This window comes from Homo sapiens, chromosome 15 (assembly GCF_000001405.40).
Source record: "Homo sapiens chromosome 15, GRCh38.p14 Primary Assembly".
Lineage (NCBI taxonomy): Eukaryota > Metazoa > Chordata > Mammalia > Primates > Hominidae > Homo > Homo sapiens.
In genome coordinates this window covers 95,275,185-95,291,066 of record NC_000015.10, presented here as the reverse complement: position 1 = coordinate 95,291,066, position 15,882 = coordinate 95,275,185, and the positions used below count along the sequence as shown (strand labels likewise).

Here is a 15,882-nt window from a genome sequence, read left to right as displayed (position 1 = left end):
TTTCATGAAATTGTGATCCCAGGAAAGCTGGAAAACCCAGTGAAGTGCTGGGTTTGACATTGTCCCTGCCCCCACCTGTGCTTTCTTTTAAAGCAAGGTGTTTCCTAAACAGAGATAGTGCCGAAAGGAGACACATATCGCTTTTTGCATCAGGAGTGTTACTTGATATGTATCAATATTTCCTGTCAGCGCCAACAAAGCAAAATCTTGGGCCTTACGGTATCCTTAGATGGCTAAATATTATTTGCTTAAGTCAGCGCGTTCCAGACCCTTTATGTGGCCTGACAGTTGATTGGGAGAAGTCCCACGAACTTTCTTAAAGTGTGCAGTCATCCGTTTGGCGGCCGGCTCCGGGGGTTCCACATGAAATCCTCTTTAGATAAATTCATACTTGCACAGGGTGATTAGCCTTACAGCTTGGTTGGCTCACTTATCTTTAAAAGCTAGACTTCCATGATCAATGTGGGCCTGAGATTGTCTTCCAGTAACTACCTCTGCTGCGATCTCCAAAGCTCAAAGCTGGTGAAGGAAGATGCAACCTAAAAAAAAAAAAAAAAAAAAGAAAGGAAGAAAAAGAAAAGGAATTCTTTTTTTCTGCTCAAAGATGACAGGCTGAAGTTGACAACCTAATCCTTCAGGCTTGTCTTACTTACTGAAAGGCTCAAGTAATGTCAAAGGAACCATCTGATAACAGTCTACATGCCAAACCTAACAGCTTTATTGCAACAAGAAACTTTCACATTAAATTTCCATGTGTTTTCTCTCCACACTCCTTCTTAACTTTACAGCACACTCCCCACCTTTTTTTTTTCCCAAAGAAAGATAAGTCTTCCCTGCTGCAAAAAAAAAAAAAAAAAAAAACCAACAACAACAACAAAAAACAAATAGAAACTGCTGTATAGGCCAGCTGGGATATAGTCAAATTAGTGGATTATTATTACCTTGGGGACATTAGAAATCAAGTTTGTTATTGGCAGTTCCTGTTTCTGTAAGAGCTGTTAATAGCTAAAATTTAAAGGGTGTTTGTCGATCAACAGAATGTTATTTTCTTAAGTGGGTAACTGCCATTTTTCTTTTTCACGTTGCTCCTGCTGCTGCTACCTGGCACCAAGTTTACCTAAAAGTTCAGCCTCCCTTATAACTAGAAATAAAGCCAGTTTTCACAGAAACATAAAGCACACCTTTTTCTGGACTTACAGTTGTGACCTAAGAGAGCAGGTGTATGAGTTAGGAGTCTCAAACTAAAAAACCTTTTAGAAAATGGTATCAACTTGTTAAGCACACTTGAAAAGATAATAAATACAGACATTGTAATATAAGTAAGGGTGGCTCATTCTTTTCGTGTTCTCCGGGTGTTATATAAAGAATGTTTTCAGTAAAATACAGATCCTTCTGTGCTTACACTTTGTGACATTCTTGCTGGGACAGTTTTACATTTTGAAGCTAAACAATTCATTTAAGAATTTTAGCTCAAGTCCATGGTTTTTTTGTTTTGTTTTGTTTTTGTTTCAGTTGACGATGGTCGTACTTCTCCATGTTCTGAGACCAGTTTAAACAAAAACAAAAACCAGACAACAACCTTGCAAGGGAAAGAATTCAGAGTAAATAAACAGTCTTTTTCTGGGAAGTAAAATATTTCCCTAAGGTAAGTTACTTTTCCAAGGGAATTACAGCATATCCCAATGTGGACTAACAGGCGTTTTCTTCTGGTCTGATTAACATTTAGGAAAAAATAGATTCCTGAAAATAGCCTATTGTGTAATTATGTGTCTGATTGGAACAGCAAAATGTCTTTGTTAAACATCTTTTTAAAAACCAATTTTACCATTTCCTTCCAAACATTTGTTAATTTAATTGTGTTAACCCTTGCATCCACATTATTGGTCATGTGGCTGGATTGATTAAGAACAGACAGGGATATAGATTTCCACCTACAGAAACTCTTTTCAAGGGGTTAATCAGCTGGTAACTTGAGTTACAAATATATTGGGGAAAATGGTACTTTTGGTAAGATTTCTCACAGTGTATTCTTCAGCTATTTTTGAAAATTATACCCACAAGTTACATCACATCTGTAATAAACTCTGCACTTCAAGCTGCAGAACCTTCCAAGATATTCTGTGGAGTTTGTTGTATTTTCCCCATTTCTATATTTAAAACAAATTTCCTACCCATCCACCCCCTCCTTGAATTCAGGGAAACACAAATAACTCATAAGCTTTGCACTGAAATGAGTTTGTTTTGCTTTCATGCCTAGTATTGCTTTTGAAATTGTTCAGCAGTAAAGAAAAGAAAAAGCTGCTGGTATTAGCTTTAAACAACCGCCACAAACATATTGTCTTCCTATTTATTCTAGGTTTTCTTTCAGCCAAAATCAGACTTGCAGAGTTATTCTAGAGCAGTTGGATGACATACAAAATCACAACCACCAAAATATACACTATATCTTTATAATGGGTTTTATGTACTCACAGATACACACACACACTATGTATATATTAAACAAAAATATGAAATTGACTCATTACAAAAGTAACCATCCGGGTATGTGAAAACTAAGAATTGTGACTTTGATATTAAGATATGTCCATTTTGCAGATGGAGAAATTGAGATGAGAGCTCATCCACAAGATTACCCATCAATGAGCACCAATAGCAACCAAATCCACTAGAAGACTGGGAGCTTTTAAGTCAAGAAACTTACATCAGTATCATCATTCCAAGAAGCGGTATCCAAGCTGTTTTATCGAAAGTGCGCATGGGAGGTAAGAGTTGGGAAAGATATCTGCAAACTAAATCTGGGGGATGCCTCTTCTTGAGGAGCTGGGGAAGAATAACCATGCTCAAGAATGTTCCTCTTTTAACAGAAACCCCTTTCTGAGGCACAGACCCTGCAGGCTCTGAAGAAATAGGATAGATTATTTCAGCTCTCTCAGCTTGGGAAGTGTGTTTGGAAGAGCATCTTCCTAGCTGCAATAATAAACAGCTCCAGCTGCAAGAGCTTTGCTAAACAAGCCTGGGCAAAACCGTTGGATTCCTTTCCTTTGACCATCTTAGATTTCCCCTGCAAGAGGCAAGGCAGGGAGCCTGCCCTGGAAATGTCCTCCTAGCCCTGCCCTGTGCAGCTCTGCGCTTCCCCAGGAACACACTCCCTCCCCCAGTCCGCCGCCCCACTTTTGTTTTATTTACGAATATGTTGCCAGAATTCCAATGAGTTATCTATTCTGTGGCCCCTTCATTTTCCCACCGAGGCCTTGTCGCCGGCTGACTCAGGGTCCAGTCGCAACAGTGAGAAGAAAAGAAGAGAGCAAAAGAATTCTTTTCAACTTTTTTTTTTTTTATGTTTCACTCATTTCTCTCTCTGTCTCCCCCAGGCCTCCTCCCCTCTCCTGCTCCCTCGTTCCCCCCACTCCCCAGCCTCCTAGGCTCTCCTTTACCCCCTTTATGTTACACGATCGCTCAAATTGAAGCTCAGGAGGGTCCTATAGGGAATGCATAGGAACCCTGGGAGAAAAAAGCCCCCAACAAGCTATACACCAGATGTATAACGTTATATGGTCAAACTGGCAAACACAAAAGCTGAAAAACAAAAGGCGTGAATTAGGGAGACGCATTCAAAGGCGTGTTTTCAAAACAGCCCGGCCAAGAGCCTGGATCCCCCTCCTGAGACTAAATGCTTGAAAGAAAAGGTGCTAAAGAAAGAAAGGAAAAGAAAAAAAGCCCATTTTTTCTAATTAGCTGAGGCCTAACAGGCGCTGAATTTCGCAACTAGTTTTCATCAAGGGGGTTGTGGCTCGTGAAACTGAAAAAAGATGCTTTTGAAACCTGTGATGTAGGCCCTTTCTCGGACCAGAGCTGGTCTCTCTCCTTGAGCTTTTTTCTCCCCCTCGCTTTTTGGGTTCTGCCTTGCTTCATATCTTGATCCCTTTTTTGCACCCTCCCCTCAAAGTACAAATATTATTTGGGCTTAAAAAGAGAGCAGGAGGGAAAGCCACAATGGCCCTCCCCGCCCCTCTTTCTGTCTGGTAGGCAGGGGGTTTTCCTTGCCAGCAACAGTCCTGAGTCGCTATGAATCTCATTCCAAAGCTCCGCAGAGCACCAAAGGGGAGGGAAAAGGTGTCACTGCAGGCTGAGAGTGTGTGTGTGTGTGTGTGTGTGTGTGTGTGTGTGTGTGTGTTTTCTGTAAACGCTGGGCTTAAAATTAAAAACCCTCCACTACTGTGATTTTAGATATTTGGAGGATGGTCTCTCGCTGAGCGTTTTTGCAAATGCAACTAGGCAATGTTTTCTAGGCAGCAAGGTAGATTCCCAGAGCAAAAGGTTTTGCTCCTCCTGCGCTTTCAGAAAGGACACACACAAGCAACCTGAATTTTTTTTTAATTCTGATTTGAAGTGTATAAAAGGATGTTGCAACCAGAGAGTTACTAGTCTTCTGCTGCATGAACAAATTATGAACTTGCATTCTTCAATCACATTTCTAATAGGAAAACAAAGCAGAACTCGTGGGTGAGAGTTGGTGGGCCGCCTGCGTTTGGAAGGGAGGCAACTTTAATTGCCGTGCTGTCTGGCTCGGATCCCTGTGGTCCTGCGTGGTGTGTTTTAGTAACAAACACTTGTTCTAATGAATTGGCCTTATTAGGGGGCTCCTCATATTCTTTTATAAAGAGCAGAGCTATTCTGAACTTCTGAATGCAACAGTCTCTTGATATTCTCACACTGAAGGCTGTAGTGTGGGATTGCATTCCCTCTCCTGTATTTTCATAAGGCTCGTATTTTTTAATGGCAGAAGAGTGAGCAGTGGTAGAAAGGTAAGAAAACTACAGAGCTTGCAGGTACCTGCCATCCATGGACCCAGGGCCATCAAAGAGGCTTGCAAAATCATTATGCTAAAGATGTATTTGCCTTCACAGCTGAACAATCCGGATTTTAGGTCAGTCACCTCCTGGCACATTTAAAAAAAAAAAAAAAACTCATGGCAATGGATAAAACAGATTCATTAGCTTTGATTAACCTTCTTTAACTAGAGTTAAAAACCTGCCGTAGGCAGCTCAGCTACCAATGCAGCCTTGAAGATACTTTATCATGTTTAAGACCCAATTACTGTTGCACTGAGTAAGAATAAAACATCACAATAAAATGTGGTACAAACCGCAACTCTAACGCACACAGCAAATAATCATTAATTTACAACAGCAACTTTCCCATTTCTATGGTTTTTCTGATGGCTGCACTTAGTTCAAGTTGAATACCTTGGAATTCGATGCTGATATGAGAAACTAGTTCCCCAGCTGTATTGACTGATGGCTTTTTTTTTTTTTCTGTCTTATAGCTTTAGTTTGGAGACTCAGAAGACTCTTTTAAAAATTTCCAAGTAAAATAAAAAAGAGAAACTAAAGTCAAAACAGGGTCTGTGGAACTAGGTTTATATAAGAGACAGGGAGGGAGAGAGAGAGAGAGAAAGGATTAAAATGGTTGAAACTTTAGAATTTTATAACAATTTCTTATTAATAATTGGAAATATTTCTAGTTAGAAGTTGTAAATATTAAAGAAACACAGCCCAGTAAAGTCAGCATTGAGTTAGTTCAAAGAGTTATCCGTATGATATGCAAACTTCTTGAAAGAGCTACAGTGAGGTCTATTTTGTGCATCTTGTAAGAAAAGAGAGCTTGAGAAGAACTCCAGCACACAATGAGTTAATTTTGGACAGGATTTGACTGAACAGGGAATAATGAACAGTGAGATACTGCAGCTTTCAGGCAAAACAGAGTAACAACAATTAAAAAGAGAGAGAGGGGATAAAGGGAGAAAACAATCTCCAGTCAGTTAACTAACAAGAGCAGCCCAGTGTTTGAAACAGATAAAACAGAGGCCACCAGGAACGCTGCTGCTGCTGCCGCTGCCACTTGCTTTATGCCTGGGTGTGGAAAGCATTACAACATTTGTGAGCCAACTGTTTGTGGGTTTCTTCTCATCTGCTTTAAAATATTTGGTTTTGCCGTATTTCCATAATAACCACAACCACACTCTCCTCTCCAAAAACCCCCCACAACAACAGATGTGTGTTCTAAAAGGAAATAGAGACACTGATATAATCAGACACTAGTTAGAGTGCTTTCATACTAAATTCTCCAGCAAATTCACAACAACAAAAAACTCTCAACCACTGATGAAATTAATCTAAGATCCTTGATTATTTGAAGTTCTAAAAGTTTCCATTTTGCATTTTGTTTTTGAATGTATAGTGCTTTATTTATCAAACTGCAGCGTAATTTTCCCTTCAGTTTGAGGCTGCGATTGTGAAACAAATAAATTGAAACTTAAGGGCCTGTTCTCTCCAAATTTAGTTCCATTATCACTTTAAGAATGCATGCTACTCAATGATACAAAAGGGATGTATGTAGCTGGTTATTTAGTTGCTAACTCAGCAATATGTCAGTTAACACAGCACTCCCTTGTAAAACTCCTTTTACAAGGTTGTTTTCTCATTGGAAGTCTCCATTTGTGTATTTGTGTACCTATGTGCGTGTGTGTGTGTGAATATCGGATATTACATGACAGCAAGATATCTTTTAAATATTTAAGATTTACAATTTTAAAGAGAGAAAACAAGAATAAAGTTTTGCAGAAGCTTAAAAAAAATTTAAAATCAGTTCACACTTTGAGCTAGAATGGGGATAGTAGTGATATTTCAAATATATTAATTATATGCCTCTCTCATAGCTATGATATTCTTGTATGTATTGATATGCACTCACTTAAAGTATATTATGTGCTCTACATAATATTAGATATTCTAGAGCATTAAAGAGCATCAAATGCATTTGGTTGCTCTCTACAGTAAGTAATTTTGGCCTTACAGAAAGTCATTTGGCCACAGTGAAGTAGCCTTTAACTGTGTTTTACTTGGAAAAGTTTATTTAATCGTTATCCTCTGCACATACTCTTAGAACATGTCCATATAACAAAATTGTAGTTGAGGGAGGAAAGTAGAATTGTGAATTTAAAAAAAAAATACTTATGGTAATGATCCTTTTGGCTTCCTGCCTCTATATAGAAGCTGGAACCACTTAACCCCAACCTACAGGTCCAGCCCTGACATGACTGGAACTCATCTTGACCTTGGGTAAGGGGAATTCAGGGAGCTGTAGACCAGGAGTTCATCAGCCAAGCGTGAAGTCCCCTTGGCCCCTGGACAAACTCTTCTCTCATTTCTCGAGGCTGGGCTCAAGGTTGATTTCACAGGACAAGGCTTTAACTCCTAGTCCAGTTTAATGTGTTTCATCCTGCCCATGTGCCCAAGTACAACTCATTGCCTTGTTTTCCTGTATAGTACCCCTATTCTGGGCACCCTACAACAGGTTCTCTTAGAGTCCTGCCAGCTCTCCCATTTCTGGGGCTCAAGACTGGAGATTCATGTGATCTACTGTGTTTACCAGATGCCCTCCATCTTGGATCTCTACCCATGTCTGTTGCTAGACAGCCGTGGAGCCCTATTTCACATTGTTGCTTAGTTATCCACCAGTCAGCTACTCTTGGACTTCCTTAGAAGCCCAAACTTTTTACAGATCAGCCCCTGGTGATTGGTCAAAACTCCAGGTTCCGGCCAGTTCTGCTCTAGCTGGTCTCTCTCATAACCTTTTGAACTGGGCAGAGATGCTAGCACAACGGGTAAAGAAAGATGAAAAAAAAAAGCAACAAAACTATAATCAAGATTGTTGGAATCTTCAATAGGCTTCCTTCCACATATCCCTTGCCTTCATTACCTTATATTAACATTCTCAAGTTCTTCAGTATTCATTATCTTATATTAACATTCTTAAGTTCTTGAGTATTTTTGGAACTATCCAGTCTCTAGTGGTTATGCCAGTCATTGTGTCTACCAGAGCTATGGGAATTTTGTCTCCAGCTTTCCAGTCTACTCCCAGTGACAGCCCGGCAGAAAAAGATTTATAATCTCAAACCCAACAAGGAACATCAATGAATGTTTTATAAATTCAGTAGTCATTTGCAACAGTCAGTGACAGAGGCAAGCTGGCTAATTTCAAAAGGGAGTATCCCCCTAGTCTGATATGTGGGCATTTGGAGGAGTGGGGAAGGCCTTGTCCTGAGGCTCCTCTGTGTACTGTAAAGAAATAGAGCCCACAGCATGTGCTCTAGAATCAGACCACGCCAGCTTCCTCCTAATAAGCTGCCTCTGCATTCCTAATGTGGAAACGAACATGAAGCTTCACAGCAAGTTATTATCTTAGAGAAGGCCCACCTGGATGATATCAGTTTTCACTGCCAGACCCTCTTAATAATTGGCCTTTGACACATATCCAGGTGTCGTCTTAGATCATAAACACCTAAGTAGCTGTAGGAACAGTGATTTGAATAGCAGCCCTTTGCAAATTTCCATCTTAAAACTTTTAAGTAAATCGTTCTTAAGCCTGACTGCAATTGGAATCACTTGGAAAGCTTAAAAATAAAATGCCCAAGTTTCACCCACCAACCTGTTGAGTTCAATTAGTCTGATGTGAGGGTACACATGACATCTCGATTAGGAGAGGTTCAGGGATTGCTAATATTCCACCAGAATAGAAGACACTTCTTTACATCTTCAGACAGCGAAATACCAGCACAACCATTACTCTGCTGAGCAATGGGAAACCCAAAAGGAGTATATACTTTCATCTTCACCCAAGGTCAGTTTCTTATGCCTGTAAGATCAGCGCTTTCTCCTCTGGTCAGCTGACAGAACAGCCTCACCTACTCTAAGTCACAACCTTCTCTGAGGACCTAAGCTGTATAATTAAGGCACAAGTACAAGTCTTTGGGCTTTCAAGGCAAAGTTCCCTTAAGTCCCAACTCACCCTTGCTAACTACCTCTCTGATTTATGGAAACCAGGCTCTTCCTTTGCTGGTCACCAGAAGCCTGACTTATTCAGAACCACTGAAACCCATCCTGTCCCCTCTCTTTTTACTGTCTGCTTCTATTCTTTGATAAGCTGCTGAAACATACTGCTGTGAAAACTGCTAGTAATTGGGCACAGTTAGATTAAGGAAACCCTTCAGGTAGCCTCAAGGTCAAAAAACTGCTTCTTATGCCAAGATCCTCCCAATGACAACATCCTTTAGAGGAGAGACCAGTTTTTCCTTCTTCCCTGCTACCAGTTTCAACTCCAGTCTGTTGGAAGCTTGACTTCCAGGTCCTGGAAAGCCAGAAGCCAGAAAAAGATTTATTACACATTAGTTCAGAGAAATAGAAGTGAAATCTTCTAAGAACTAGAAAAATTTTCACCGATTATTTCCTCATCCTTCCTCTGCCCATATTTTTCTTTGATGATGTAACAAATGCCCTGCACAGTAGTTCAAGCAGCCTTATATCACTGGCTTGTAACCTGTTTATAGAATAACTGGAGAATTCTTATAAATTCCTGGGCCCTGACAATATCTAATACTTGCATGGCACATTATGGTTTAGATAACACTTCACATGCATTATCTCATTTAATCTTCATGGGGAAAGTGGCTGACTCATACATATATAAAGAAAGAGAGCCGAACTTAACTACAGAATATAGTTGACAGCACAAAATAAAGTGACACTAAGTGAGGTACCACGCAGGAACTGCATAGGTTTCTGTTGTAATCCTCTCCTGAATGTGTCCATTGCTTATATAATGCCATTCAGTACAAGATAGTTACCATATTATTTCCCTCCTTATCTCTTGGTACAAATAGTGCACAAAGTAGGAAGATTAGCTGAGTGATGCTTAAAATCTCTTCTAGTTATATCTCTTCTTTGTTAGCCTTCTTTACACATTATCTAAGCATAACTTTGGAAGTTCTTGAATTATTTTTTCCCTAGGAAACTGCATGTCTTCCAGTATATCATTGGTTGAAAAAGGCACAAACAAAAAACTTAATTTGATATTAAACTTAAGTACAGTGCAGCATTATAGATCCCTCCCTTCTGTTTCTAGCTCTCATGTGGTTTTCTCAGCAGCTGTATGAGCACTGATTTAGTCTGGGATGTAAACAGTGCACCTTTAAGGTAACCTGTGCGCTTCCGTTATTTTGTTTTCTGGAAGCCTATGAGAAGGTTAACGTAGTTCATTAAGGTTTGCATAACTTCTTATGTTTGATGACTCATTCACAAAAATGAAAAGCAGGACTTAGGATTTGTTAACCAGAATTATGTAAACCGTATATCTAGCATATCTGGGTTAAAATCCCAACTCTTTAACATTTTACTAGCTCTACATTCTTGTGGAAGTCTTTGAGTTATAGTTCCCTCTTTTGTAGAACCGAAAGAATACTACCCATCCCATAAAGCTTTGTGAAGCCATAGTACCTGGTACATAACTCTCAATAATTGGTAGTTGTTTTTATAACAGTGCTGGTAGTAGTTATTATTCTAACTACAAATTATAAGTTTTACTTAATAATACAAAATAAAAGCCACTACCATAAATAACTCCTGTGCCTTCTACTTCCTACCCCAAAATAATTGAACCAAACTCTGCTCTATTCTCTGGACAACCCATGGATCAAATAATGAAGCACAACATTTAAAAGCTTAAAATATGGCTGGGTGCAGTGGCGCACGCCTGTAATCCCAGCACTGTGGGAGGCCGAGGCGAGCAGATCACCTGAGGTCAGGAGTTCGAGACAGCCTGGGCAACATGGTGAAACCCCATCTCTACTAAAAATACAAAAATTCGTTGAGCATGGTGGCACACGTCTGTAATCCCACCTACTTGGGAGGCTGAGGCAGGAGGATCACTTGAACCCGGGAGGTAGAAGTTGCAGTGAGCTGAGATTGCACCACTGCACTCCAGCCTGGGTGACAGAGTGAGACTCTGTCTCAAAAAACAAACAGAAACACATAAAAGCTTAAAATGTTTTGGGAAAGTGCCTACTCTGAATGTATGAACAGATTCCAATATATGTAAGAAGGTGGATACCAATTCATGGTATTTCTCAGGGATCTCATCAGAGAGAGAGACATCTTCGCCACTGCCATGAAGTTTCAAGTACAGAACTCTTCCTCGTAATCAAACTATTTCTATGAACAATTCACTCATCATTGTGGGAAAGTCTATTTTTCATCTTAACACACAAACAGACAATAACAAAATTTGTGATTTGGATAATCTGGATCTGATGTTCATGCTCAAAATGGAGGCAATTCGTAATACTGGTCTGAAGCATTTAGTCATTCACTGAGCAGATACGTTAGGAGCAACAGGCATGGGCTGTGTTTTTCTAGGCACTGTGAACACAGCAGTCAACGAAGTCAAAAACCTGTGCTCTTAAGGGACATGAATTGCCAAATGGAAACACTAAGTTTTTCTATTTATGACCTAAAGCTAGTCAAATATCTCCAGAAGTAAGGTAGCTGAGTGAAGTGGTTCATAATCTTTCCATGGGAGCCAAATCCTCGGTGCTGTGACTCTTTTAGATAAATGATAGTAAAAATGAATCAAAAGTTAATTAGCTTGCACCTCAATAATCCAGTCTCCATCACTGATGGTCATCGTGGAATCTGCGTACAGAGGCAGCTGTATACAGATGACAGAGACAGCTCTAACACGTGACACATTTAAGCACACAGAGGCGGAAGGACATAAAGTTCCTGGTTGATTTCCCTTTGGTGTTTGTGGGGAAATATCAAGGTCATAAAAAGTCAGTTTCTAATAATCCCTCCAGTCCTCCATTCCATTCCCTAATTTGTATGCAATGGCATTTAACATTTTGACTTTGCTTAAAATAAAATGTGTGTTTGTTTTAAAATAAATCTAGCTTCGATACCGTCAACCAAAGTCCAACACAAAACATTTAAAGAATCAAGAATAGGTATTTGAAGGTGTGGTACGTTTCTCAGACTCTGGAAATGACTTGAGTGAGACTCAAGAAGGCAATGTACTCTTTCTTGTCCTGATATAAACCAACAAATAAACAGCTTCCAAAAGCCTAGCTCTACAGACATAAAACATCTGGATGCTTTAAAAAGAAATCCACATTCTTGGCAGTGTGTTCAAACTCAGAATCCAGATCTTCTGAAGTTCAGACATCACCGCTGCGACAAAATGCTACCCTGTCATGATATGTCTCCATAATATCATATCAACATTATCTGTTCTGCAGAGAATCTCCTTAAAAAGTTGAAGACCTGAGGGGAAATGTAGTTTTATCCTATAAGGTCCCGGAATTTGATCCTATTTGTTCATTATGCACAGAAGGTACTCTATGTAATATGGAACTCATGATGAAAATGCTTGAAAAGGTCATTGACTTAGTTCAAATAAACAAATGCCTTCTTTATAACATTCTGGCATGATAGAGAATTAGAGCAGTGAAAAGACTGTAGAGTATAAAGAAAAAAATCCGAGGCCAGTTCAGTTTAGGTTTAGGATATGACTATTCTTAGTACACTGAAAGATGGCTGGAAAGAAGGGAGTGGTGTGTAAAGTGAAAGAAAGCTGGCCACATAGTCTAGGTTTAAAATAGAGAGCGATTAATTATGTAAAATGAGAGCCCATTTTATGTCACTTGCATATATTTCAGGTCTGATTGGTAGAAACCATTGCCATCCTGAGAACCTGGCCTTACTTTTCTCAATGAAAACTTTCTATCACTTCAAACTTCAAGGTAATAGAAGGAGAAAAGAGGCTCTTTAGGGACATTTCCAAAAGCCTCATGCTGACAGAACTTAAAGAAAAACAACTGACTGTAGGAGGTTTGCTGATTTAAAAAGCAAATTCCTATAGAAAGTTTACTTAATAGATTTGTGTTTTCTATTTTTTAATTAAGGGCCTACGACTGCTGGGCTCTTTATGCATAATTTTATTTAGTCCTCACAATAATCGTAGATCTACACTAACTATAGTGTGTACTATCATATATATGTGTGTGTGTGTGTGTGTGTGTGTGTGTGTGTGTGTGTGTGTGTGTATGAGAACAACTGAGCTTCTGGGGTTAAATAACTCCCCCAAAGTCTCCAGTGGCAAAGTCAGAATTGAGCCTCAAGACAGCCTTTTCTCCAAAGCTCAGTCTTTCAGCTACCCATAATGCCTCTTGACAATGAATCAGAGTGAGGCATCTTGAGATGCCCCCAGAAGAATTTCAGGCCTTGTAACTGACAACCAACTGAATAGTGACATTAAATTTTTTTCAAGTGTGGCTTCACCAGTTGCTGAGTTCATGGACTCTGAAAAGAAATCAGGTGTGAAAAGAAGTACTCGACATGTTTGCAGTGGGCTCTAGCTAAAGAGCACCTTGAAAAGCCAACTGCTAGATTTATGGGGAAGGTCTTGCCTAACGAACTTGTGAAAGTTCCCTGCAGATATTATAGTGTTCTCAGCCAGGAAACATGCTGGATTCTGTACCCCATCAAAGAAAAGCATTTGATGAGACTTCATATCGAAATGTACTGCTTGCAGTAAGAAGTCAGGCTGTAGTGAGTCTCAGAGACCAAAACAGGGCTTAGAAAGAGATGCAGTGAGATGACTTCTCCAGCCTGAAAGAAGCTTCCAGCAGGGCAGCTCAGGGAACTGTTTTAACAAGCTCTCATGTTTACATTAGTAGTGAATGACTTAGGGATAAAAATGTCAAAATGAACATTCCAAGGGTAAGGATAATACTCAGCGGTAGCATTAGAAGTCCAAACCTCTCTGTGCTTATGATTTTGTTGCTGTTTTTCAGATGGTGCTGTGAGTGGGGAGTGAGTCAAAAACTCCGCTGGGGTGTACAAAAGTCTACTCAAATGTCCACAGCATCTGTGGGGGATGGAGAATAGTTGGAGGATCTTTCTCCAGAATCCTTCTGTTCTGTAGTACAAGTATTACTCATTATAGACTAGCACGAAAAATCAAGTGAAATGCGAACTTAAGAGTTTAAAAAGAATAAATGGTGCTTTTCTGGCCTATTAGTAATAAATTAAATAAAAATAATTTTAATTTGTAAGTAATGAATGCTAATCTACATTGTATTAATTGGGCTTAACCAGAGAGTTTTTGTTTACATACATTAGGCAAACAAACAATAGGAATGAGGATTTTTAATAAAGAAGGAAGCCAGAAACACACACACACAAGCACACACACACACACACACACACACACACACACACACACCAAGTAAGAGAATACTAAAAGATCAGAGAAAATGTAATTATACTTATCAAAATGTTTTAATGCAGTGGCCTATTAGTTTCAGAATATAAAATTTATTTGATTTGTTGAGCAACTTGGAGCTTATTTTTTAATCCTTTCAGATAATAGGAACTTGAAACATACTTGGCTGTGTATAAGATATATGTGATATTAGAAAATCATATATATCTGTTAATATATATTCAAATATATTACTAAGCAAAAATATATTTACATGTTTATATCAATGATGCAATTAATAAATGTTTTCACATCCTGTGTCTCAATTTATCCTTACATAAAACAAGTGAGTTACTTATTCTTTAACTTCTCTAGGCAAATTTCAAATATTTTCTGAATATAACTACAGAATGCTTGGTTTGTGTCTCTATGAAAGGTCTTAACACACTCCTGCAATGAATTATATGCATATGGCTCTCCCATACTGGGAATGCCTAGAGGAGAGAAACTGTCTTCTTACCATATTTGTATCTATGGTTCATGCCTGCTCCACATAGACCCCTAGGTTTCACTAGAGAGATCTCAAGACAGTAGGTTTGAAGTAAGAGAATGGGAGGATTTAGAGGCATCTCGACTATACTGATATACTCTGCAATCAGCTTGGCATCTGGGAAATGTTTTGCTGTCTGCTTCATCTCCAGTGCCTTGAACAGTACATGTTTCTCTGGAGCCCCTGCAAGGTTTGTTGAAGGAGGGCATACATCAGGTATTCCATAATTTAGCAACATTCCATAATGTGGCTGCTAGTAAATGGTTGGTTCAGGATTTGAACCCAGGTCCTCTGTGTCATGTTCTAAATGTTGGGAGAATAAATCCCTCCCTTGTCTCAGTGAAGATTTCTAAGCTGCCCTGGGTTGTTGTGTATAGGTGTTTAGCTTATGGGATGGGACTGGAAGGTGGTGTAGGGACACAAAAGGAATTAAACCATGTAAGTTCACCTTGGTTGGCATTTTCATTTCTCCTTTGGATATCAAGCCTGAACAATGATTCTCAAAGATATGTATTAAATTCAATAAGGATTTACTACTACTGCTCACCTATTAAGTGCGAGGAACAGTTGCACTTAGTAGGAATAAAGAGGTAGCTGGCACAAACTATTCTGCCTGTTTTTTGTTTTTGTTTTTCGTTTGTTTGCTTGTTTGTTTTTTCGACAGAGTCTTGCTCTGTCGCCAGGCTGGAGTGCAGTGGCGCGATTTTGGTTCATTGCAACCTCCACTTCCTGGGTTCAAGAGATTCTCCTGCCTCAGCCTTCCAAGCAGTTGGGACTACAGGCGTGCACCACCATGCCCAGCTAGTTTTTGTATTTTTAGTAGAGACAGGGTTTCACCATGTTGGCCAGGATGGTCTCAATCTCTTGACCTCAGGTGATCCGCCTGCCTCGGCCTCCAAAAGTGCTGGTATTACAGGCGTGAGCCACCACGCCCGGCCTATTCTGCCTGTTTGTTGACTGCAGTCATAGTATGTTCTTGCTCCTCCCTGAGCTACTTTTGCTTTGAATAAAACCATGGTGTCATGGAAAGAACAAAAAGCTCCAGGGTAGGGCACATGTTTTCAAACTTATTACAAGAGGGAGCCTGGATGAGAGTATCTTAATATACCTTTTAGAGCTGATGTGTCCTTCTCTCCTTGAGATCCAATTAAATTTACTTTCTGTGAGTTACATGATAGAAAGTGTTACATTGTACATTTTAGCAATTTCAGCTTATTCAGATCAAACAAAAA

The 15,882-nt window shown here is 39.5% G+C and overlaps 1 long non-coding RNA gene across 1 annotated transcript in view; it reads left to right on the top strand.

The window, feature by feature from the left end:
- The window catches only part of LETR1 (lymphatic endothelial transcriptional regulator lncRNA 1), a 47,813-nt gene extending 36,034 nt beyond the window's left edge, over window positions 1–11,779 (top strand). The window contains exons 2-4 of the long non-coding RNA NR_034095.1: window positions 1,513–1,645; window positions 2,599–2,765; window positions 10,971–11,779. This is a non-coding gene — a long non-coding RNA (lymphatic endothelial transcriptional regulator lncRNA 1). The remainder of the gene's footprint in view (window positions 1–1,512; window positions 1,646–2,598; window positions 2,766–10,970) is intronic.
- Window positions 11,780–15,882: the final 4,103 nt, after the last annotated feature.